This window comes from Homo sapiens, chromosome 7 (assembly GCF_000001405.40).
Source record: "Homo sapiens chromosome 7, GRCh38.p14 Primary Assembly".
NCBI classification, from domain to species: Eukaryota; Metazoa; Chordata; class Mammalia; order Primates; family Hominidae; genus Homo; species Homo sapiens.
The window spans coordinates 155,314,339-155,339,187 of NC_000007.14; the positions used below are offsets into that span (position 1 = coordinate 155,314,339).

The 24,849-nt window shown below is 48.5% G+C and overlaps 1 long non-coding RNA gene across 3 annotated transcripts in view; it reads right to left on the bottom strand.

Annotated features, from left to right (window-relative positions):
- Positions 1–23,123, bottom strand: part of LOC105375592 (uncharacterized) — a 27,269-nt gene extending 4,146 nt beyond the window's left edge. Inside the window, exons 1-3 of one of the 3 annotated variants that reach the window (XR_001745442.1) lie at positions 22,906–23,123; positions 19,356–19,514; positions 17,460–17,583 (exon numbers count right to left, since the gene is read on the bottom strand). This is a non-coding gene — a long non-coding RNA (uncharacterized LOC105375592). Of the gene's footprint in view, positions 1–8,334; positions 8,665–17,459; positions 17,584–19,355; positions 19,515–22,905 lie in introns of those variants that run through there. The other 2 variants (XR_007060612.1, XR_007060611.1) reach the window with 2 other exon arrangements.
- Positions 23,124–24,849: the final 1,726 nt, after the last annotated feature.

Below are 24,849 nucleotides of genomic sequence, written 5' to 3' on the forward strand. Positions count from 1 at the left end.
CTAGAAGAAAACCTGGGCAATACCATTCAGGACATAGGCATGGACAAAGACTCCATGTCTAAAACACCAAAAGCAATGGAAACAAAAGCCAAAATTGACAAATGAATCTAATTAAACTAAAGAGCTTCTGCACAGCAAAAGAAACTATCATCAGGGTGAACAGGCAACCTATAGAATGGGAGAAAATTTCTGCAATCTACCCATCTGACAAAGGGCTAACATCCAGAATCTACAAAAAACTTAAACAAATTTACAAGAAAAAAACAAACTACCCCATCAAAAAATGGGCAAAGGATATGAACAGACACTTCTCAAAAGAAGACATTTATGCAGCCAACAGACGTATGAAAAAATGCTCATCATCACTGGTCATCAGAGAAATGCAAATCAAAACCACAATGAGATATCATCTCATGCCAGTTAGAATGGTGATCATTAAAAAGTCAGGAAACAACAGATGCTGGAGAGGATGTGGAGAAATAGGAACGCTTTCACACTGTTGGTGGGAGTGTAAACTAGTTCAACCATTGTGGAAGACAGTGTGGCGATTCCTCAAGGGCCTAGAACCAGAAATACCATTTGACCCGGCAATCCCATTACTGGGCATATACCCAAAGGATTATAAATCATTCTACTATAAAGACACATGCACATGTATGTTTATTGTGGCACTGTTCACAATAGCAAAGACTTGGAACCAATCCAAATGTCCATCAATGATAGACTGGATTAAGAAAATGTGGCACATATATACCATGGAATACTATACAACCATAAAAAAGGATGAGTTCATGTCCTTTGCAGGGACATGGATGAAGCTGGAAACCATCATTCTCAGCAAATTATCACAAGATCAGAAAACCAAACACTGCATGTTCTCACTCATAATTGGGAGTTGAACAATGAGAACACATGGACACAGGGAGGGGAACATCACACACTGGGGCCTGTCGGGGGCCAGAGAGCTGGGGGAGTGATAACATTAGGAGAAATACCCAATGTAGGTGACGGGTTGATGGATGCAGCAAACCACCATGGCATGTGTATACCTATGTAACAAACCTGCACGTTCTGCACATGTAACACAGAACTTAAAGTATAATAAAAAGTAATAATAATGAAAAATAAAATGCTTTAGGGACACTGTTTCATCTTAGTAACCCCAGGTTTTCTCCATACTAGATATTCAAAAGAAATTTATGAATGAAGAAATGAAAGAATAAAAACAAAAGGAAGAGAGGGGGAGAGAGAGGGAGGTTGGCTGTTAAACGTTCAGGTGCTGAGCATTATTAAACCAATTTTTAAGTTAAAATAGCCTATAACCACCCACCAAATTCAGGTGCTAGCCTACCTAGCACCTGAATTTAGTGTCCCCTTGGCTCTCTGGGCAGTAGGAAGAAAGTGGAGCTGGGAGAAGCGTCCCGTCAGTGTCAGCGTGCCTCCTGTGTTGAATCCACAGGCTGGGAGTTTGTCCATCCTGGGTCATATTGCTCTGGGATCTCATGTTCTTCACTCTGTGTTATGGGTTAAATTGTGTCCTCCCCCACAAGAAGATATGTCCAAGTCCTAACCTCCAATGTCAAAGAATGTGATGCTATTTGGAGATAGGATCTTTGCAAAATTAAGCAATTTAAGATGAAGAAATTAGGGTCCTTATAAAAGGGGAAAACTTGGACAGGCACGCACAGAGGCAGACGACATGAAGAGACACAGAAGGAATACCACATGAAGACAGAGGATCGAGAGGTGCAGCTGCAAGTCTGGGAATGCCTGCCGTTGCCACAGATGGGGAGAGGCTGGGACACACTCTTCCCTGCGCCTTTGAAGGAAGCAAGCACAGCCCATACCTCCAGCTCAGACCTCTGGTTCCCAGAGCTGTGTGACAACAAATGTCTGGTGTTTAAGCCAGGTGGTCTGCGGTACTTTCTTGGGGCAGCCCCAGGGGACTAAGAATGCACCACGACCTCAGTCCCAGCTTGAAGACCATGCATCCTGAGGAGGCATCAAGCCCGCTTGGGTGTCCAGCTTCAAACAGGAAGGAAGAAAGGGCAGCTGCAACGCCCCTGCTTCCCAAGGAGTGTGGACACAATTATAGGTTCTGAGATAATTGTCTGGAGGAGCCTCAAAAGAGGCGGCTCTGCACCCAGAACTTCCCTCAACAACTGTGCGGGCAACGAGGGAGGTGGGGAGAGACGCCCCATCCATGGCATGAATGCGCAGCTGCAGTGGGTGTAGGTGAAGCCTGCTGAGGCCTGAGCAAGGGCAGGGGGCAGAGCATGGGAGGCAGAGGCTCCTGATGGCCTCAGGGTACGCTCGTCATCAGGGTGTTCTATGTAAGGCAGGAGAAAGACGCAAAGGATTTCAGAAATAGTTCCATTAAAAATGGTTAAAATCTAAGAGTCTACTACTTGAAGCAAAAGATTCTGTTATTTGGAAAATGTCCTCATGTGGAAGCACTTATTTCCACCCAGGGTGAGGACACCAGGACACGGAGAACCAGGGCCATGGAAGACAGTTGCTGAAGGGCTCTCCTTAGCAAGCAGGGGAAAGTTTGCTAGTCCTGTGTAAACATACTTGGCTCAGATGAAAATCAGCACTAAACAGCAGAATTTCAACACCCAGTGTCAAATTCCCCTGCTGAGCAGATCAGTCCACCTCCTTTCAGCAGCCAGCCCCTACGCAACCGACTCAAGGAAACAAACAAAATAGAAAGAACCGAAAGCAGAGGCACGTGGGCCTTGGGGGCACCACACTCAGACTCAAGCAAGGTTGGCAGCCGGCCCTCCCCTGTGGGCCATGGCCCAGCAGCTTTCCTTCCCAGGGGGCCCAAAGGGCACTCCCACTGTGGACTCTGTGGCTGGAATGCCCCCTGTTATTTGGAACGCAGTCACATCAGAGACCAGAGTGTCTTCGGACTTGTCCACATCCACTCCTTCCCCACCACCACTTCACAGCCCAGAAGCTCCAGTGCCCTTGCCCTGCCTGCCTCCAGCCACTGTGCCTTGCACTCCCCATTGTCTTCCATCCCCTGCACTAGGGCACCCAGTTGTGATCTTTTAATGAGGGAGACCTAACCCTGTTGTGCTCTCACTGTGAGCCCCGTGTGTCCAGTTCACATAATTAGACCCTGCAGTGCACTGGTCCTGGTGCCTGTCCCTGCAGGTGGGTGCCCTTCTGCAGTGGAGCCTTACCTGTCTCCCTAGACCTTCCTGATAACTGAAGTCCTGTGGCTACTGGAAGGCAGGTACATCGAACTGCCCTCCAGGGTTCTGAGGGTGTCTCCCCAGAGCTTTGGGGTGCTATGACTAGACCCTTGGCACAGGACCATGAGGCCTGCTCCCTCTGCCTGAAGGTATCCTAGTCCCAGAGTGCTCTGCTTTATTTACCTGGCTAACTCCTTCCCTCTCTCAGCTGAGGAGGCCTCCTCAGTGCCTCTGCAAGCCTCAGGTCAAGTCCTACAGTGGAGACAAGGAAAGAGAGAGCTGGGACATCCTTCCTGAGACCAGGCTCAAGTCCAGGGCTCCATCCCTTCATAGCTACATGAGCTTGGGCTCATGACCTCTCAGTATCCCATTTTTGTTTTCTGTAAGATGGGAATAATAATAGTACCTTCCTCATGGGGCTGTGATTACCTGACAAGAGTGTAAGCTCAATAAATGTTAGCTATGACCATTGTCATCACTATCATCATCACCATCACTATCATCACCATCATTATCACCATCATTGTCACCATCATCATCACCATCACCTTCACTATCATCACATCACTATCATCATCATCATCACCATCACTATCACCATCATCACCATCATATCATCCACCATCATCACTATTATCAGGATGATCATCATCATTATAATCATCATCACCATCACCATCACTATCATCACCATCTCATCATCACTATCACCATCACCATCATCATCATCATCATTATCATCACCATCATCACCATCATGATCATCACCACCATCATAACTATCAGCACCGCCATCATCATCACCATCACTTTCATCATCACCATCATCATCAATGCCATCACTGTCATCATCAACATCACTATCATCATCATCACCACCATCATCATAACCATCACTATTACCATCATAATCATTGTCATCACTATCACTATCACCACCATTATCATTATTATCACCATCATCGTCATCATCACCATCACCATCACTATCACCATCATCAATCATAATCACATCATCATATCATCATAATCACCACCATCATAATCATCACTATCAGGATTTCCACCATCATCATCATCATCTCTTTATTCTTATTATTCGCTCTGCCCTGCTTTGCTTCGTGTCTATGTCAATCCACAGAAAGGCGCATCAGGAGAATTTTACAGCTCACATTTACAGAACCCTAATTCCGATTTCTAGAATTATAACCCTGAAGCCTAAGGGCTCAGGGTGCTAGAAGTGAAAAATAACAATTCTTCTTAAGATGGAAAAATGTACTGAGCTTCAGCACTCCCAGGCATGCATTTGTCTTTAGTTAGGTAGCCAGGTATCATCTAACTCTTTACCTATTTAAACTGTTCAAATAGTTAAACTTATGTTTATAGTTTTTAAAACTGCAATAGTAATATACTTTTCTTCTGGAAACGTCAAATAATATCAAAATGGATAAAGTGAAAACTGGAATTCTCTTCTCCGCCGGGGTAAATACTATTTACAATGTGGTGTGTATTCTTCCAGGTCTTCATCAATACACACACACAAAAAATCAGAATAATGGATGCACTATAATGGTAAAAATAATTTGGCTGGGTGCAGTGGCTCATGCCTGCAATCCCAGCACTTTGGGAGGCTGAGGTGGGCAGATCATGAGGGCAAGAGATCGAGACCATCCTGGCCAACATGGTGAAACCCCATCTTCTGCTAAAAATACAAAAATTAGCTGGGCATGGTGGCATGCACCTGTAGTCCCGGCTACTCAGGAGGCTGAGGCAGGAGAATCTTTTGAACCCAGGAGGCAGATGTTGCAGTGAGCCAAGATCGCGCCACTGCACTCCAGCCTGGTGACAGAGCGAGACTGTCTCAAAAAGAAAGAAAGAAAGCCTGTGCTGTTTTTATTGAAAGAAAGCCTGTGCTGTTTTTATTGTAGTAAAATATACCTGTCATAAACTTTACTATCTTAACAATTTTCAAGTGTATAGTCCAGTATTTTTAAGTATATTTAGAGTACTGGGAAACATATCTTCAGAACTTTTTTGTCTTACAAATCTGAAAGTGTATACTCATTAAATAACAACTCCTCTTTGCCACCTTCCACTATTCCCTGGTAACCATCATTCTGTTTTCTCTATCTATGAATTTGACTCATCTAGATATCCTATATAATCATACTGTATCTGTCCTTCTGTGACTGGCTTATTTCACATAACATAACATCCTCAAGGTTCATCCAGGTTGTAGCATGTCAGAATTTCTTCCTTTGTAAGGCTGCATAGTGTTCCATTGTATGTATACACCACATTGTATTTAACCAGTCACCCACCAACAGACATTTGATTTGCTTCTACTTCTGGGCTTTTGTGAATAATGCTGCTATGAACATGGGTATGCAAATATCTTTTTGAGACCCTGCTTCCAATTCTTTTGGATATATACCCACAAGTGGGATTGCGGAATCATATGGTAGTTCTATTTTTAATTTTTTGAGAAGCTGTCATACTGTTTTATACTGGTTGCACCACTTTTCATTCCCACCAAGAGCATACAAGGGTTCCAACTTCTGCACACCCTCACCAACACTTGTTGTCTTTTGGGGGTTTTTTTTTGACAGTAACCATCCTAATGGGCGTGAAGTGGTATCTCATTATGGTTTTGATTTGCAGTCCTCTGATCATTAGTGATGCTGAGCCTTTTTTCATAGTCTTGTTGATCATTTTATATCATCTTTGTAGAAATGTCTATTCAAGTCCTTTACCCATTTTTTAAATCAGGTTACTTAATTTTTTATTGTTGAATTGAAGGAGTTCTTTATATATTTGGATCTTAACCCTTTATCAGATATATGATTCACAAATATTTTCTCCCATTCATAGGTTGTTTTTTCACTTTGTTGATTGTATCCTTTGATACATAAAAGTTTCTTAAGTTTGATGTGGTCTTATTTGTCTATTTTTGCTTTTTTGCCTGTGCTTTTGGTGTAATATCCAAGAAATCACTGCCAAGTCCAGTGTCACAAAGTTTTTCTCCTATGTTTTCTTCCAAGGCTTTTTTAGTTTTGGGTCTTATGATTAGGTCTTTAACCCATTTTGACTTCATTTTTGTATGTGGTATAAAGTTAGGATCCAAATTTATCCTTTTGCTTGTGAATATCCAGTTTTTCTAGCACCATTTGTTGGACAAACTGTCCTTTTCTTATTAAATGGTCTTGACATCCTTGTGAAAGATCAAAGATCATCATTTTGACCATATACACGAGAGTTTTCTGGGCTTTCTCTTCTATCCCATTTGTCTATATGTCTCTCTTTATGTTGGTACTATACTGTTTTTCTTACTATAGCTTTGTTTTTTTCGAGATGAAGTCTCACTCTCTCACCCAGGCAGAGTGCAGTGGCATGATCTTGGCTCATTGGAACCTCTGCCTCCCTGATTCAAGCAATTCTCCTGCCTCAGTCTCCCAAGAAGCTGGGATTACAGGCATGCACCAGCATGCCCAACTAATTTTGTATTTTCAGTAGAGACGGGGTTTCACCATGTTGGCCAGGCTGGTCTCGAACTCCTGACTTCAGGTGATCTGCCCAGCTTGGCCTCCCAAAGTGCTGGGATTACAATAATATAGTTTTTTAATATATTTTGAAATCAGGAAGTGTAAGTCCTCTAACTTTGTTCTTTTTCAATTTTGTTTGGCTATGTGGGGTCCCTTGAACTTCCCTATAAATCTTAGGATGACTTTTTCAATTTCTGCAAAAAATGTCATTGAGATTTTGACAGCGATTATGTTGAATCTGTAGATTGCTTTGGGTAGTATTGACATCCTAACTTAAGGACTTAATTAAGTCCTCTGATCCATGATCATAGGATGTTGAAAATGATGATTTTTACTCAACAATATATCATCATGAGTCAAACATACAGATTCATCCATCCATGTATTCAGTGAGAGTTCAATAAGTGCCTACTACATTCCAGGAACTGTTCTAGGCACTTGGGATATATTGGTGAGTTGAGATGGGGTCTCACTCTATGGTTCAGGCTGGAGTGCAGTGGTGTAATCACGGTTCACTGCAGCCTTGACTTCCCTGGACTCTGGTGATACTCCCACATCAGCCTCCCAAGTAGCTGGGACCACAGGCACACACCACCATGCTTGGCTAATTTTTGGATATTTTTTGTGGAGACAAGGTTTTGTCATGTTGCCAAGGCTGGTCTTTAACTCCTGGGCTCAAGCGATCCACCTGCCTTGGCCTCCCAAAGTGCTGGGATTACAGGTGTGAGCCACTGCACCTAGCCTGTCCCTGCCTTGTTGAAGCTTCTTTTCTAGCAGGGGGAAACAGACAGTAAACACCAGGCTAATAAGTAAGTAAATGGTATAGTAAATTAGGACCTGATAGGTACTGTGGACATAAAAGAAAAAGTACAGCAGAGTGAGAAGAATTAGGAGGGCAGATGGGAAGGTGGGCTGTGATTTTAAGTAGGATGGTTGAACTAGAAATCTCCTTGAGAAAGTGGCTAAGTCCATGTTACTTAGAAAAGAGAGCCCAAGGCCAGGCGTGGTGGCTCACGCCTGTAATCCCAGCACTTTGGGAGGCAAAGGTAGGTGGCTCACCTGAGGTCAGGAGTTTGAGACCAGCCTGGCCAACATGGTGAAACCCTGTCTCTACTAAAAATACAAAAAATTAGCTGGGCATGGTGGTGGGCACCTGTAATCCCAGCTACTCAGGAGGCTGAGGCAGGAGAATTGCTTGAACCTGGGAGGCGGAGGTTGCAGTGAGCCAAGATCGTGCTACTACAACTCCAGCCTGGGCAACAGAGCGAGACTCCATCTCAAAAAAAAAAAAAAAAAAAAAAAAAAAAGGAAAAGAGAGCCCAAGGCAAGGCTTAAGTGCTAACACTTCCTTGGAAGGTGCCATCCCAGAGCAGCATGGTGAGGACAGGGCATCAAGGCAGGGAAGCCAGGGAAGACCATGCAGGCTGAGACCGCTGCAGGCTGAGCACTGCTTCGTTACGAGCCACAGAGATACAGACCAGGCGCTCAGCCAGAGGGGCATCTCCACACAGTTCATATGGAAAAACCATGCCTGAGAACGGCCCATTGGAAGCAGGGCGAGAGAGATCTTTTTGGCTGCTCACTCCTACCTCCCATCAGATGCAGCTGGAGCTGCAGGAGTCATGAGTCATGTCGCCTGGTCTCTGAGCTGTGTTGCTTGGACACTTTGGCAACTCCTACAGGAAGCAGCTCCCATGTCCTCCAACTGGGGAGTGTCCAGAAAGGGCGAGAGGAACCTGAGGCTCCGGGCATGCAGTCAGGAAGGTCTCCACGGTGAGCAAATGGCCAATGTTTCTAGGGACAGAAAGGCTGAGAGACTCAGAAGAGGCATGGTTTGTCGGATGCAAACTACCTATGTCATTCTTTGTGTGACAATCTCTTTCCTCTTATTAGCAGCATGCAATTTTATGGAATGGATTTTAAACTATTTAAACATCTCCTTCTGAGAGCATTTAAGTTGATTCCAGTTGTTCACTCTAATCAGCATTGCCAAGGCATAGATACTTGTCCATAGATCCTTGTGGAACTTGACTCATTATCTCTACTGCTAGAGCTCTAGAAGGGAAATTTCTGAACTTACATCATTTGCATAACTCAGTTTTAACAGATGCTGTGAAATTTCCCTTCAAATATTTTGTTCCTATTTACTTCCCCATTACACAGCCTTGAACCCTTGTGATATGGCTGGGCTCTGTGTCCCCACCCAAATCTTATCTTGAATTGTAATCAAGGGAGGGAAGTGGGGTTGGACTATGGGGGCACTTTCCTTCATGCTGTTTTTGTGGTAGTGAGTGAATTCTCAAGAGATTTGATGGTTTTACAAATGGTAGTTTTTCCTGCTGTCTCTCTCTCTCTTTCTCTCTCTGTCTTGCCTGCTGCCATGTAAGAAGTGCCTGCTTCCACTTTCACCATGATTGTAAGTTCCTGAGGCTTCCCCAGCCATGTGGAACTGTGAGTCAATTAAATCTCATTCCTTTATGAATTACTCAGTCTTGGAAACTTCTTTATAGCAATGTGAAAATGAACTAATAAACCTTGCCAATACTGAGCAGCTTTTAACTTTTTGCCAGTCTACAGGTAAAAATGTTTTCTGATTTTTATCTTGCATTTCTCTGATCACTAGTCATTTGTTTATTAGCCATTTGTCTTTTTCTGATTAATTTTCTGATCTATTTTTCATTTTTTTAATTTAAAAATACTTTATTGCTAAAAAAGGCTAGCAATCACCTGAGATGTCAGCGAGTAGTAATTCCTTTGCTCATGAAGGATCTTGTCTCTATGTTGATGGCTGCTGATTGATGAGGGTGCTGGTTGCTGATCTATTTTTCTACATGGTTGTTTATTCTTAATTGTTGCTATTTCTAACTTCCAGGGCCTATTTGTATGTTAGGAACATAAACCCTTTGTCTTTTATGTACAGGGCGACCATATGCCCTCTGTGCTTGGGACGGTCCCAGCTTGTGCCTTCTGTCTGGGTGTAATGATTAGCTGCTCCCCCTTCACTCTCAAGCATCTGGGTTGGAGTGATAAACAATACCTAACACTGCAGCCTCGCTGTGTCTGCCTCTCTCTTCCTCCACGGCACCTGGGTTTCTTTTATTTACAAAGGCCAAGTATGATGAAGATAACACAGAATCAACTGCCCCAGAGTTGCACGAAGCTGTCTGTCTCTGCAGATAAACACTTCAATTCCCCTTTAGAGCAGACAGTTCTTAGTTTAAAAACAAAATCACCAGGATAGATCTTTCAGCTGTATAAACACAATGCATTATTGCATTACTTAGTAGAGATAATCAGCACGCACATGTTTGCTGAATGGATGAGCAAATGAATGAGGAACCAAAAATAAGGATGTTTCTGTTGGATTACATTCTTAGTTGAAGGTAAATGGTGGAAACATAAAGAAAAGTTGGATCTGAACCAAGAACTTGGAATTAAGCAGAACAAAGTACCACCTAATCTCCCCTCCTGGTGCTTCTACCCCTCGTCCAGTGATTCTGAAGACCCGTATGTTAAGGCGCACCTGGTAACCTCAGCTGCGTACTCTGTTGTGTAACCAAGAATGTCAGAAGAAGCTGAGAAGAGTCCCGTCAGCAGATGGAAAGGGCTCTAAGTGGACGGCCAGGGCATCTGCGCCGCTGCTGGGTACCCTAAGCAATACCGGTGTTTGTTCTGGAAGCTAAAGGCTAAGCGTGCTGCAGGTGCTGGTGATGAAAGTCTTATCTAAGCCATGGGTCATTCCAGTGACTTCTAAGGCGGCTACTGTGGAGGCCAGAACTGCCAAGGCGTCCTGCGTAACACTGAACATGGCAACAGTAATCCCAAGCACGGCTTCATTCACTGGGGGCTCGATGCGTGTCAGGCACTGTTCTAACCCTTTGTCTGTATTATCTCATTCAATCCTCATCATAACCTATGAAGTAGGATTACTCCCATTTTAAGATGAGAAAACAGGGCACAGAGAGGTTGAGTAACTTGCCCAAGGTCACACAGTCAGCAAATGGCAGAGCTGGGGTCAAAATTCAGCCAGTCTGAGTCTTGAACACTGGTCAGATTAAAGAATAGTTACTTGCCTCTACACATTTTTAACATAGATAACCTTTGAGCAACCCTATGGAACAAACTGAGCAGAGATCAAAGGAGTGCCTGGATTAAAAGCTACAGAGGATGGACTCATATTCCAATTTGGTGGAAAGGCCACCAGGGGCTGTATTTTCTGTAATATTAAATTTAAAAATGGCCTTCCAGAATCTAGACCATCCCAAGTAAAGGAATCCCTGAGCCCCAGAACTAGGCTGAATGTCTGGTTGACTTCCCACTGCTTCTATTAATGGAAAAAAGACATGTGAAAAGCTGGAACAGACATCTATCTATCACCTAGGCTGGAGTTCAGCCCTCTGGCCACAGAGCCCAGGTAATTTTCCAGCTACCTGACTACTGTGGATGAATTAAAATTAACTCCATAACTCTGACTCACTCAGACTTCTACCCAGAAGTGCTTTTTGGTCAAAGGTGCATCATCTGCTGGGCATGGTGGCTCACGCCTGTAATCCCAGTGTTTGGGAGGTAGAGGCAGGCAGATTACTTGAGCTCAGGAGTTCGAGACCAGCCTGGCCGATATGGTGAAACCCCGTCTCTCCCCAAAATACAAAAAGTTAGCCAGGTGTGGTGGTGCTCGCCTATGGTTCCAGCTACTTAGGAGGCTGAGGTGGGAGGATCACATGAGCCCAGGAGGTGGAGGTTGCAGTGAGCCGTGTTCATGCCACTGCACTCTAGCCTGGGTTACAGAGTGAGAGCCTGTCTCAAAAACAAACAAACAAAAAAGAACAAAGATGCATCATCACAAGTTTTGTCCCTGCTTTGAAAACCCTGAAGGTCACGTTACCAGGATCTGAGATGGGGAACGAAGTGGTGGCTGGAGCTTTACAGACACAATCCCAGATCACAACGGAGCCCTCTCTCCACCAGGCCCCGGCACTGGCTCCAAGTACTCTGGGGAGCCATGGAGCTTGGCCAGGCTCAGGCCCATAGACCATTAGACCCAGAGCAATTAGGAAACAAATTCAAGACTGTGCTCTGTTGAGGGTGGTTTTTCGAGCTATTTCTCTTGTCTTAGCCTGTTCCTGCTGCTGTAACAAAACACCACCACCTGGGTAAGCTGTAATAATAGAAACCTCCTTCTCACAGGTTGAGTGTCTGGAGAGGGCCCAATCTCTGCTTCCAGGACGGTGGCTGGGACGCTGTGTCCTCACGTGGTGAAAGCAAAAGAGCGAAGGGGTAAACCCTGCGTGAAGCTTCCTTTACAAAACACGAATCCCACCCACCAGGGCAGAGCCCTCCTGACTTAATCACCCCTAAAGGCCTCACCTCCTAGTATCATCACGGTGGCAATTAAGTTTCAGCACGTGAAATCTGCAGGGCACATTCCGACCCCAGCATAGATCTTAGCAGTTACTTGGATAAATCTGTCAAACAGGGGAAGCTGAGAAGCAGCCAGCCCGGGCTATTCCCTGATGAATTTGCGCCCTGCTCTGGTCTGTGCCCACCCACTCTCGCTCCATGGTCAGTGGTGGCTGCAGAAACACACATGAGGAGAGGGCCGAGCAGACTCGACCCTCAGTCACTTAAACCCTGCCCAGCCCCACAAAACACTCCCCAAGAGAAACCTCCTTCTTTGTTTCTTATGCTTACAGTGGGGGGCCATTAAACATCTGGAGACGTGGCAGGGAGGCGAGAGGAGACCCCGCCAGAAGCTGTGCCTTCCTAGGGGGCAACCATATGGGGCCCCTGCCCCCTGCTCACCCAAGAAGCAGAGGCCCCATGTGCAGGGCCCTGGGTCCTTTCAGAAGGGGTTCTGTACATTCTCTCATGGCCGGGGTCCCCAAGAAAGCAGATACACCCAAGACAGCAGGGAACCCCCAGACAGCAGGGGCACCTAAGACAGCAGGCGCCACCAAGACTGCAGGGGCCCCCAAGACAGCAGGCACCCTCGAGACCTCAGGGAGCCCCAAGACAGCAGGCACCAAGACAGCAGGGGCCCCCAAGACAGCAGGCACCCACAAGACTGCAGGGAACCCCAGGAAAGCAGGCACACTGGCCACCAGAATGCCAGGCCTGCAACACCACAGAGAAGGTGGAAAGCATGCACATTCAGTGTTTCTAAAAGGATGTTCTTACGGCCATGAGTCCTTGCTATTTCTGGAGTCTTTATCACACAGATTTATATAGCTACAAAATTAAGTATATTATCTCTGAGCTACTGCATAGAGTAATGGTATGAGATTCCTTCCTCCCTCCTCCACCTGGACAGAAAGCTGAAAGTTGGCCCAGGTCACCTCAAGTCAGGGGCGACTTCAGGACTCATGTGCCAGGACAGACATCTCACCGTGGTGGGAGCCAGTGATGGGGACTCCTGAAGACTGGTAATGATAACAAAGACACTCTGTACCACCGAAGGGAGTTAACTGGGAGATACCCCAGTGCCCCCCTCTCTCCCCCAACCCTGACCCTGTCCCGGCCCTGACCCTGCCCTTACCACACCAGCTGCACCAGCCCCACCCATGATCCCAACCTCCACCCCCACCTCTGACCTCCGACCAGACCCAGACCTGAAACCCCCTCCCAGTCCCATGCCCAAATCACACCCTCCCAACCTGCACCCTAACCACAGCCAGGCACCTGGGCTCCCTGTGCACAGCCTGGCCATGGGCACGGCCCCACCCCCAAACACCTCCTAGCCCTGCCTACCAGCCCCGCCCTAAATACACCTCCTAGCCACTCTCACAGCCCTGAGCCCCATCCCAACCACACCAAGCCCCGTTTTGCAGTCCCTCCCCCTACAGGATCCCTAAGCATGCCTCCCATGCCAGCCCCAGCCCTCCCTCTCCAAGGCCTTGGGTGCACGGTCCACAGGCCACCATCCTCTGTCCTGGGTGGGATGGGTCCAAGCGTCATGCGGAGGATCACTGGGCACTCCGCCGCTGAGCCTCCCCAGGTCCCTTCCCAGAGACGGGGTGGGCACTGCTGATTGGCTTAGGCCAAGCAGACCCCTGCTCAGACCACCCCGGGTGTGTGTCCAGACTGGAGGCATGTGCCTAGACTAGGGGAGCAGGGTCTCTCAGGCACCTCTGCTACCTGAAAGGTGTGTGGCCCTCAGCCAGGTGAGCAGCCACAGCATTGTACCATCTGACACGGGCTCCCAAGGCTGTCTAGTGTGTCTGTTGCCTGAATCCAGAGTTACCTTTTTCCAGTGTTCTTGCCCTTGGTTGGTTTATCATCTAAAGTATTCTAATCTCACTTCCATCGGGAAAGTAACTTTTCAAATTGTCCCAACTTTCAAAATAGCTGTTAAGGATTATTATCGTGATTACGAATAAGAAATTTGCTTTTTAAAGAATTGATTCACTGTGTGTGGTGGCTCTCCCTCTCCCCAAAGACACCCACATCCTCATCTCTCCCTCCCCAAAGACACCCACATCCTCATCTCTCCCTCTCCCCAAAGACACCCACATCCTCATCTCTCCCTCCCCAAAGACACCCACATCCTCATCTCTCCCTCCCCAAAGACATTCACATCCTCATCTCTCCCCTCCCCCCAGAGACACCCACATCCTCATCTCTCCCTCCCCAAAGACACCCACATCCTCATCTCTCCCTCTCCCCAAAGACACCCACATCCTCATCTCTCCCTCCCCCCAGAGACAACCACATCCTCATCTCTCCCTCTCCCCAAAGACACACACATCCTCATCTCTCCCTCCCCAAAGACACCCACATCCTCATCTCTCCCTCTCCCCAAAGACACCCACATCCTCATCTCTCCCTCCCCAAAGACACCCACATCCTCATCTCTCCCTCTCCCCAAAGACACCTACATCCTCATCTCTCCCTCCTCCCAGAGACACCCACATCATCTCTCCCTCCACAAAGACACTCACAGCCTCATCTTTCCCTCCCCAAAGACACCCACATCCTCATCTCTCCCTCCCCAAAGACACCCACATTCTCATCTCTCCCTCCCCAAAGACACTCACATCCTGATCTCTCCCTCCCCAAAGACACCCACATCCTCATCTCTCCCTCTCCCCAAAGACACTCACATCCTCATCTCTCCCTCCCCAAAGACACGAAAAACTCATCTCTCCCTCTCCCCAAAGACACTCACATGGTCATCTCTCCCTCCCCAAGACACTCACATCCCCATCTTCTCCTCTCCCCAAAGAAACCACAGCCTCATCTCTCCCTCTCCCCAAAGACACCCACATCCTCAACTCTCACTCCCCAAAGACACCCACATCCTCATCTCTCCCCCCCCCCAGACGCCCACATCCTCATCTCTCCCTCCCCCCAAAGACACCCACATCCTCATCTCTCCCTCTCCCCAAAGAAAATCGCATCCTCATCTCTCCCTCGACAAAGACGCCCAAATCCTCATCTCTCCCTCTCCGCAAAGACACTCACATCCTCATCTCTCTCTCTCCCCAAAGACACTCACATCCTCATCTCTCCCTCCCCAAAGACACCCACATCCTCATCTCTCCCTCTCCCCAAAGACACTCACATCCTCATCTCTCCCTCCCCAAAGACACCCACATCCTCATCTCTCCCTCCACCCAAAGACACTCACATCCTCATCTCTCCCTCCCCAAAGACACCCACATCCTCATCTCTCCCTCTCCCCAAAGACACTCACATCCTCATCTCTCCCTCCCCAAAGACACCCACATCCTCATCTCTCCCTCTCCCCAAAGACACTCACATCCTCATCTCTCCCTCCCCAAAGACACCCACATCCTCATCTCTCCCTCTCCCCAAAGACACCCACATCCTCTTCTCTCCCTCCCCAAAGACACACACATCCTCATCTCTCCCTCCCCAAAGACACCCACATTCTCATCTTTCCCTCTCCTCAAAGACACCCACATCCTCATCTCTGGAACCTGTGAGTATTGCCTTATGTGGTAAATAGGGGCTTTGCAGACTATGATTAAATGAAGGATCTTCAGGTGGCGGGGTGGGTATCTAGGTGGGCCTTAAATGCAATCACATGGGTCTTTCTAAGAGGGAGGCAGAGGGAAATTTGACAGAGATCCACTCAGAGAAGAAGGCCATGAGAAGATGGGGCAGAGAGAGATGTGAAGATCCAGGCCTTGAACACTGGAGCTATGCGGCCACAAGCCCAGCAATGGCAGCAGCTCCCAGAAGCAGAAGAGACAGCGAACAGATTCTCTCCTGGAGTCTCCCAAGGGAGCACGGCCCTGCTGACGCCTCCAATTCTACCCTGGATATGCTTTCAACTTCCAGCCTCTAGACTAAGAGAAGAACTTCTGTTGTTTTAAGCCACCCAATTTATAGTACTTTCTTTAGCAGCCACAAGACACTAATACACCCTGGCAACTCCCGCCCCTCCAGAACATCAGAATACTTCCTGCTGACCAAGCACTCCAACTGGGGGTCAACATCAGCAGGGAAAAAAATCACAGAGGGGAGTGCATTTGATTTTGGGTCTAATCTCTGACTCTCACTACATCAGGACCCATCATGTAATTTCGCGAGATTATTGCTTTATTTGTAAAACGTCTGTTCGTTAAAGTGATGGATTTGAAATGGGTTTACAAACTGTGACGCATTTGCAATGTTCATCAACACACAGCCAGGGAAGGCAAGCCAAGTCTAAGGAGAATTCCATTTTCCCGATAGGTGACGTGAAATTTCAAAGATTACAATAGAGTTACTAATTTTGTTTGCATCTCTAAAATTGGTAAAAATCATCATTAATTGAGCAGTAGGGTGGATGCCAGAATCTCTCATCTTGAAAGAGATGCCAAAAAGAAAAGAAAGAAGGTTCAACAGCTCTGCATAGCACTAACAGAAGTGCACTGGAGAAGCAATGTAGGCACAATAAGTAAACTTTTCTAGAAGTCAAAAGTGTATAAACAAAAACACACAAGCTTCTTATTCTAAGGGCCCTGTGCCTCCCCACCATTCCAGAGCACTCATCAAAGTCTTCACTGAGTGTTTCCAAGAGCTACACCATTAACCTTAAGTGCCTCTTGCTGTAAATTACCTTTGTTATATTGATGGTCTTTCAGAAGCAGCAAACACTCACTAGTCCAGACACACAACGGACACAATCATTGTGCCGCGGTAATCATGGTCACCTCTGGCGGAGTACAGGGATGGGACTCCTAGGTACATGCAAGCTACTGGCTACACTTCAGTCCTTAGTTGAGAAGTTGGTTCCAGGGGTTCATTATATGAGTATGTTTTGGAACTTACATGTTACATATATTTTTATGTATTAAAATATTTTAACATAATATTTTAATTATGGAGAATGGGAAAAAGAGAAAACAAAACTTCACTTATAGCACATTTCCAGGAAGCTTAGATATACCCACGACTGCTCCTGTCAAGCACTTCCTTCTGTCTGATGTTCTCCTGCCAGTTCAATTTATTTCCAGGATTCATTGGAGACACAGATGGCTTGGGGGCATCATTGCCATTACAATGTTGCCTGCCTTTGCCAGCGTACTCAGAGAATAGCAGGTAATGAATTCAGTTACCCTGAGCTGCACTTCTCCTGTGAACATTTCCCTATTCCATTTGCACCAGGTGTTTTCATTAGGCTAGGAGGAGCCCCTCTAACAAGAGACCCCAACGAAAGCACAGCTGAAAGAACAAAGAAGGTACTTCCCACTCGCACAGCTGGCAGAGGTGAGCGTCCCCGCTGGCAGGTAGTGGACAGAGCTCAGTGGACAGAGCCTCTGCCGTCTTGACCCCGCGGCTTCCAAGGCCACCCCAGTGGATGCCATTCCAGCCAGGAGGAAGGGCTGCAGCTGGAATCCAAGAAGGAGATCTCTTAGGCCAGCAATATGGAAATCGCACAGACTGCTTTGTTAGTGCTTTGCCCCCCAAGATTTTCACATTAAATCCTCATCCCAGGACCTCAGAATGGGACTGTATTTGCAGATGGGGCCTTTGAAGAGGCGATTAAGTTAAATGAGGTCACAGGAGTGGGCCCTAAACCAATACGACTGATGTCCTTATGAGGAGAGGAGATTAGGATACAGATACACAGAGTGGGACGACCCAGCAAAAGACACTGTCTGTAAGGAAGGAGAGGAACCAGCCCTGCAGACACCTTGGTCTCAGACTTCCAGCCTCCAGAGCCGGGAGAACAGATATTTCTGTCGTTGAAGCCTGCAGGCTGTGGGGCTTTGCTCCGGAAGACCCGGAAACTCATAGAGGCTTCTAGTGACATTGCCCTCAGGATAACAGCCACACGTCACAACCAGCTACAAGGGAGGCTGGAAAATGAGGCCTCCAGGACCCAGCTCCATTTCTGCTGCTGTGGAGAAAGGAAAGACGAATGTTGATGAGTGGGCCTCACCTAGAGATAGGTCTACGGCCACGCCACCCTGTGCAGTCAGTCAATGAAGACCTCGGAGAGTGACGTGGCAGGAGCATCTGCCCAGCTTGGTGGGGGGAATCTAAAAAGTGTAAGACCTGTCTTAAGGAATGGGCTCCTTATGTGAAGAAACAAATAAGTTGCAATGGGAAATAGAAAAGAAAGAGACGCAGACCAGAGTGATGAGGGAAGACCTCCACAGCAGGCAGGGCTGGCTGCAGCTCGTGAGACTCCAGTGAGTGGGGACGAGGGAGCAGGCATGCGTGATGGGTGTGGCATGACCGTGGGAATGAACACCGTGCCTGCATCTGAACCTTCCGTGTCTATCTGGAATCTAACCCCGGTGCCCTCGGTCCCCACGTCTTCCAGATCCCACACTCTTCCAGTACCTTTGTTATCCGTGTAAGCTGAGCAGAGTGATTTCTTCTGCTAGGAATCAAGACCCCTGGCTACAAAACAGATCGGCTAACCTGGAATGGTGGGGGCGAGTGCAGGTTCAAGACAGAGGTGCAAGGCTTCAGAGGACAGCAAATGCAGTCGCTCCAAGAACAGATCTAATATGTGCACAATGCACAAGTCCCTCTTGGCCGTGGGCTGCATTTATTCATTTATTCAGCACCCACTTACTGGGTGCTTTCTGTCTCCCACTGTTCTGCATGTGAAGTTTCTGGATGGCCCACCCAGAAGGTGGGAAAAATGGGGATTCTCTGATGGAAATCCTGGCTTTACAATGGGAATGGGAGCTCAGTGGCAGAGGAGCTGAGGATGAGAGGAGGACAGGATGTCCTAGATGCCCCCAGGAAGCTGCAGGTGCAACCCGCACACAGATGGGGCCCCTGAGAGAGTGAGAACACGGGGAAGAAGGAAGCAAGGCATTGGGGAAGACACTTGGCAGACAGAGGGAACAAGCAAAGGTGTGTTCTGAGGAGACAGAAGGCATCAGAGAGGCAGAGAGAGGTCCGGGAAAACTCAACATCACAGAAGCTAAGAGACGACAAAGCTGCAGGGAAGAGGTCAAACGCTGGCCAGCTGAGCATGACTGGCTAAGTGAGCTGTCGCCCACATATTGGAACACTAAACTGAATGTTAGCTATTCCACGGTAGATGAATATTTGTTTTCAATGAAAGATATTTGCAATACACTACAAAGTAAAAGCCTCAGCACTCGGACATGTGTGCAGGAGTTCTGAGGACAGAGACCTGCGTGTAACATGCGGGTTACCGGGGCAGGCGCCAGCAGCAGAATGGAAGTTGAGCTAGGTTCATCTCTCGCCACAGGGCTTCCTTCGAGGCATGCTGTGCAGGGCCGGCACCAATCTCCCATCTCTGTTGGGTAATCTGAGCCTGATCAGTGAACATCTGGCGGAAGAGAGGGAACGGGCTGTTGTTGAGAGTGGAGGGGAGCACACGGCAGATCTGCAGCCTAAGACAGAATAAACAACCTGCGTAGAGCTCTCACCTCTCACCTGGATGCCTGCAGAGTCCAATGCCCAGCTGGGTTCAGAGGCCCTTCACTGGGCTGTCAGCAGAAGACGAGATTGTGGATGCGTCCCACTCTGCAAAGCCTGGCTCTGCACGCCCACAGCCACCCAGCCTTTCTCCCCAGGTGGTTCCAATCTTCATTCCCCTCAGTCCTCATTACTCTCAGTCCTCACTGATCTCAGTCCTCATTGCTCTCAGTCCTCATTGATCTCAGTCCTCATTGATCTCGGTCCTCATTCCCCTCGGTCCTCATTGCCCTTGGTCCTCACTGATCTCAGTCCTCATTGATCTCGGTCCTCATTGCCCTCAGTCCTCATTGATCTCGCTCTTCGTTGCCCTCAGTCCTCATTGATCTCGGTCCTCATTCCCCTCAGTCCTCATTCCCCTCAGTCCTCATTGCCCTCGGTCCTCATTAATCTCAGTCCTCATTGCCCTCAGTCGTCATTGATCTCAGTCCTCATTGCCCTCAGTCCTCATTCCCCTCAGTCCTCATTGCCCTCAGTCATCATTGATCTCAGTCCTCATTGATCTCAGTCCTCATTGATCTCAGTGCTCATTGCCCTCAGTCCTCATTGCTCTCAGTCCTCATTGCTCTCAGTCGTCATTGATCTCAGTCGTCATTGATCTCGGTCCTCATTCCCCTCAGTCCTCATTCCCCTCGGTCCTCATTCCCCTTGGTCCTCATTGCCCTCGGTCCTCATTGATCTCATTCCTCATTGATCTCAGTCCTCATTGATCTCAGTCCTCATTGATCTCGGTCCTCATTCCCCTCAGTCCTCATTGTCCTCAGTCCTCATTGATCTCAGTCCTCATTGCCATCAGTCCTCATTCCCCTCAGTCCTCATTGCCCTCAGTCCTCATTGATCTCAGTCCTCAATCCCCTCAGTCCTCATTGATCTCAGTCCTCATTGCTCTCAGTCCTCATTGCCCTCAGTCCTCATTGATCTCAGTTCTCATTGCCCTCAGTCCTCATTGCCCTCAGTCCTCATTGATCTCAGTCCTCATTGCCCTCGGTCCTCATTGCCCTCGGTCCTCATTCCCCTCGGTCCTCATTGATCTCAGTCCTCATTGCTTTCAGTCCTCACTGCTTTCAGTCCTCATTCCCCTCAGTCCTCATTGCTTTCAGTCCTCATTCCCCTCAGTCGTCATTGCCCGCAGTCCTCATTCCCCTCAGTCCTCATTCCCCTCAGTCCTCATTCCCCCCAGTCCTCAATGATCTCAGTCCTCATTCCCCTCAGTCCTCATTGCCCTCAGTCTTCATTCCCCTCAGTCCTCATTGCCCTCAGTCCTCATTGATCTCAGTCCTCATTGCCCTCAGTCCTCATTGATCTCAGTCCTCATTGCCCTCAGTCCTCATTGCCCTCAGACCTCATTCCCCTCAGTCCTCATTGCCCTCAGTCCTCATTGATCTCAGTCCTCATTGATCTCAGTCCTCATTGATCTCAGTGCTCATTACCCTCAGTCCTCATTGATCTCTTTGCTCATTACCGTCAGTCCTCATTGATCTCAGTCCTCATTGCTCTCAGTCCTCATTGCCCTCAGTCCTCATTGCCCTCAGTCCTCATTGATCTCAGTCCTCATTCCCCTCAGTCCTCATTGATCTCAGTCCTCATTGCCCTCAGTCCTCATTCCCCTCAGTCCTCATTGCCCTCAGTCCTCATTCCCCTCAGTCCTCATTGCCCTCAGTACTCATTGATCTCAGTCCTCATTGATCTCAGTCCTTATTGATTTTAGTGCTCATTACCCTCATCCTCATTGATCTCAGTGCTCATTACCGTCAGTCCTCATTGATCTCAGTCCTCATTGCTCTCAGTCCTCATTGACCTCAGTCCTCATTGATCTCAGTCCTCATTCCCCTCAGTCCTCATTCCCCTCAGTCCTCATTGCCCTCAGTCCTCATTGATCTCAGTCCTCATTGATCTCAGTCCTTATTGATTTTAGTGCTCATTACCCTCAGTCCTCATTGATCTCAGTGCTCATTACCGTCAGTCCTCATTGATCTCAATCCTCATTGCTCTCAGTCCTCATTGCCCTCAGTCCTCAGTGATCTCAGTCCTCATTCCCCTCAATCCTCATTGCTCTCAGTCCTCATTGATCTCAGTCCTCATTGCCCTCAGTCCTCATTGCCCTCAGTCCTCATTGATCTCAGTCCTCATTGCTCTCAGTCCTCATTACCCTCAGTCCTCATTGCCCTCAGTCCTCATTACTCTGAGTCCTCATTGCTCTGAATGTTCATGAAGGGCATGATTTCTTCCATGTGGTTGGTGCAAAAGTAATTGCAATTTTTGCCATTACTAATAAATAGTAGCCAACAATGTTATATTTTGTAGGGACACAATTTTCCACGGGTCTCCTGACTGTCTGTACATCCTGAAAGCAAAGATCTCAATAACCTCTGCCCCAGGATGTCTTGTCACGGATGTCTGCAGACAACCCTGGTTTGGAATATGAAGTTTCCCCTGCAGAGAAAAGATCCTGGTTCCCTAAGCTGGAGGATCCTCTCCTGTCCCGGAATCCACAGTGAGTGCAGGTCTCGTTCTGTGGGGATTAGGCCTTAAATAACTTAGACAAAAACGGCTAGTACTCTGCCTGCTGCTGTGACTGTGAGTAATAACACCATCCTTGTCTCTGATGCAGCAGTCTTGTGTCTTTTGCCAGCATCCACAAAACTATGGCAGCCTAACTTGTTAGCCCGCAAGTAGAGTAAGATCTCAGACCCTTCACAGCTCTCAACCCATTTGTAGAATTTTATTAAAAAGCAGACAAACAGTACTAGCAAGAGTTATAATCTAATTAAAAGAGCTGGAGACTCCTATATAGTTCCTAAAGATGAAAGTGTGTCCTGGGCTCCCACCCTCTCCCTGCCTGTCCTATCACCCACCACAGTGCTGACACAACCAAAGGTGCTTGGTGAAAACTGGGCTAGAGGTGAGCTCTTGGTGCCTGTTTCCAAAGCAGGCGTTGTCAGACCTGAGCAGCCTGCTTCGAGTGGGAGAGTCGTCCACTCTTCCCAAGACCTCCTGCTGTGCCAAGTCAACCACAGCCAACAAGAAGACCAACGTGGTGCATGGTTGTGTTGCTCTGATGAGGACGGCGGCATGGACAGCTTCAATTTTCAGTGAGGCTGGCGCACTTTACACACACATTCCTTTGAATTCTCAACACATCCTGTAAGGTTGAAACTCTTTTCCCCACGTCACAGATGGAGAAAACTCAGCCAGATCAAAGTCATGTTGCTAGAAAGTGACCTAACTGGGTTTAAACCTACCAGTTTGGCATCTCACGAGTAAGCTGCAAATGCTGGATGGAAGCTTAAAACCGTGTTGGTGTTCATCAGGCAAAGCCGAGGAGTGCCGGCGAGGAGGACCAGCCCGGGCTGCCGGGTGCTCCGCGTCCTGCAGACACAAGGTGGCTTTTGGAAGACAAGCTGCTTACATGGCCTTGTGGCCATCTGGCTCTTGTTTGTGGTTGGGGGGGGGTGACTGAAGGGCATGGGGTGTGGAAACCGATCTATCGTTTCTTGTATCTTACTGGGCACAGGCTGTATTTATATATGTGGCTCCCAGGGCCCGAGGGGGGAGGGCCGGGCTTGCCAGTGGCCAGTTCTGCTCACTCAGCAACCCAAAGTGTGCTCCTGAGGGGGTAGAGCATAGAGGGCCCCCAGGAAGGACCCACCTAGAACTAGATTCTATCTCTCCTTATACACCCCAAAAGTCCTGGGCTGAAATTTCACACCGAATGCATCCCTTGCCCTCATTTTTCTTTTCTTTCTTTTTTATGCTGTTTCTTGTCTTCTCTTTCTTTCTTTTGGGGTGGAATTGTGTCCCCCTAAAAGGTTTTTTGAAAACCTAACTCCTGGCACCTGAGAAAGTGGCTTTGTGTGGAAAGAAGGTCCTTGCAGACACAGTTAGTTAAGATGAGGTCACATGGAGTAGAAGGGTGTTTGCACAGTATGCCAGCAATCTTAGAAGAGAGACACACGGAGAGGGGATGCCACACAGAGACAGACACACAGAGGGATGCCAGCCATGTGACGGTGGCTAAGGAGAGGGGAGTTACAGAGCTGCAAACCAAGGAACGCCAAGCAATGTGGCAAGGCCAGCAGCCGGGAGAGAGGCGCGTGCAGGGAGGCCAGCGGCCGGGACAGAGGCACATGTAGGAGGGCCGGTGGCCAGGACAGAGACTCATTTACGGAGGCCAGAGGCGGGCACAGAGGAGCATGCAGGGAGGCCAGCGGCTGGGACAGAGGCACATTTACGGAGGCCAGAGGCAGGCACAGAGGCACGTGCAGGGAGGCCAGCGGCCAAGACAGAGGCGCATGCAGGAAGGCCAGCGGCCGGGACAGAGGCACATTTACGGAGGCCAGAGGCAGGCGCAGAGGCACGTGCAGGGAGGCCAGCGGCCAAGACAGAGGCGCATGCAGGGAGGCCAGCGGCCGGGACAGAGGCACGTATACCGCGGTCAGTGGCCGGGACAGAGGCACATGCAGGGGGGCCAGTGGCCAGGACAGAGACTCATTTACGGAGGCCAGAGGCAGGCACAGAGGCGCGTGCAGGGAGGCCAGCGGCTGGGACAGAGGCACATTTACGGAGGCCAGAGGCAGGCACAGAGGCGTGTGCAGGGAGGCCAACAGCCACCACAGAGGCGCGTGCAGGAAGGCCAGCGGCCGGGACAGAGGCGCGTGTACGGAGGCCTGGAGCCAGGACAGAGGCGCGTGCAGGGAGGTCAGCAGCTGGGACAGAGGTGCATTTACGGAGGCCTGGAGCCGGGACAGAAGCGCGTGCAGGGCGGCCAGCGGCCGGGACAGAGGCGCGTGCAGGGGATCCGGCCAGGACAGAAGCACAGAGAAGATTGGCCCTCAGAGCCCCCCCAAGGGGGAACCACCTCTCACCAAGACCTTGGTGCTGGCCTCTTGGCCCCCTGAACAGTGAGAAGCCATGCCTCTGTGGTTGTCAGCCCCCGTCTGGCTGTGGTTTGCTGTGCCACCCCCGGACTGTCACCCCCCTTGCAGTTTTTCTTTCTGTGGCTTTCATTTACTCTCTTTCTTCTTCCTTTCTCATGGGCTTCCCCTGCAGGAAGTACACTTACTGCTATGTCACAAGGTGCAAGCGAATGCTATGGCTGTGCCCCCTGGCTCCCTTTGGGATTTTCCTGGGGCCCCAGGGACTAGAAATGAGACCAGGTGGTCTTTGCCCCCAAGCCTGGCTGCCAC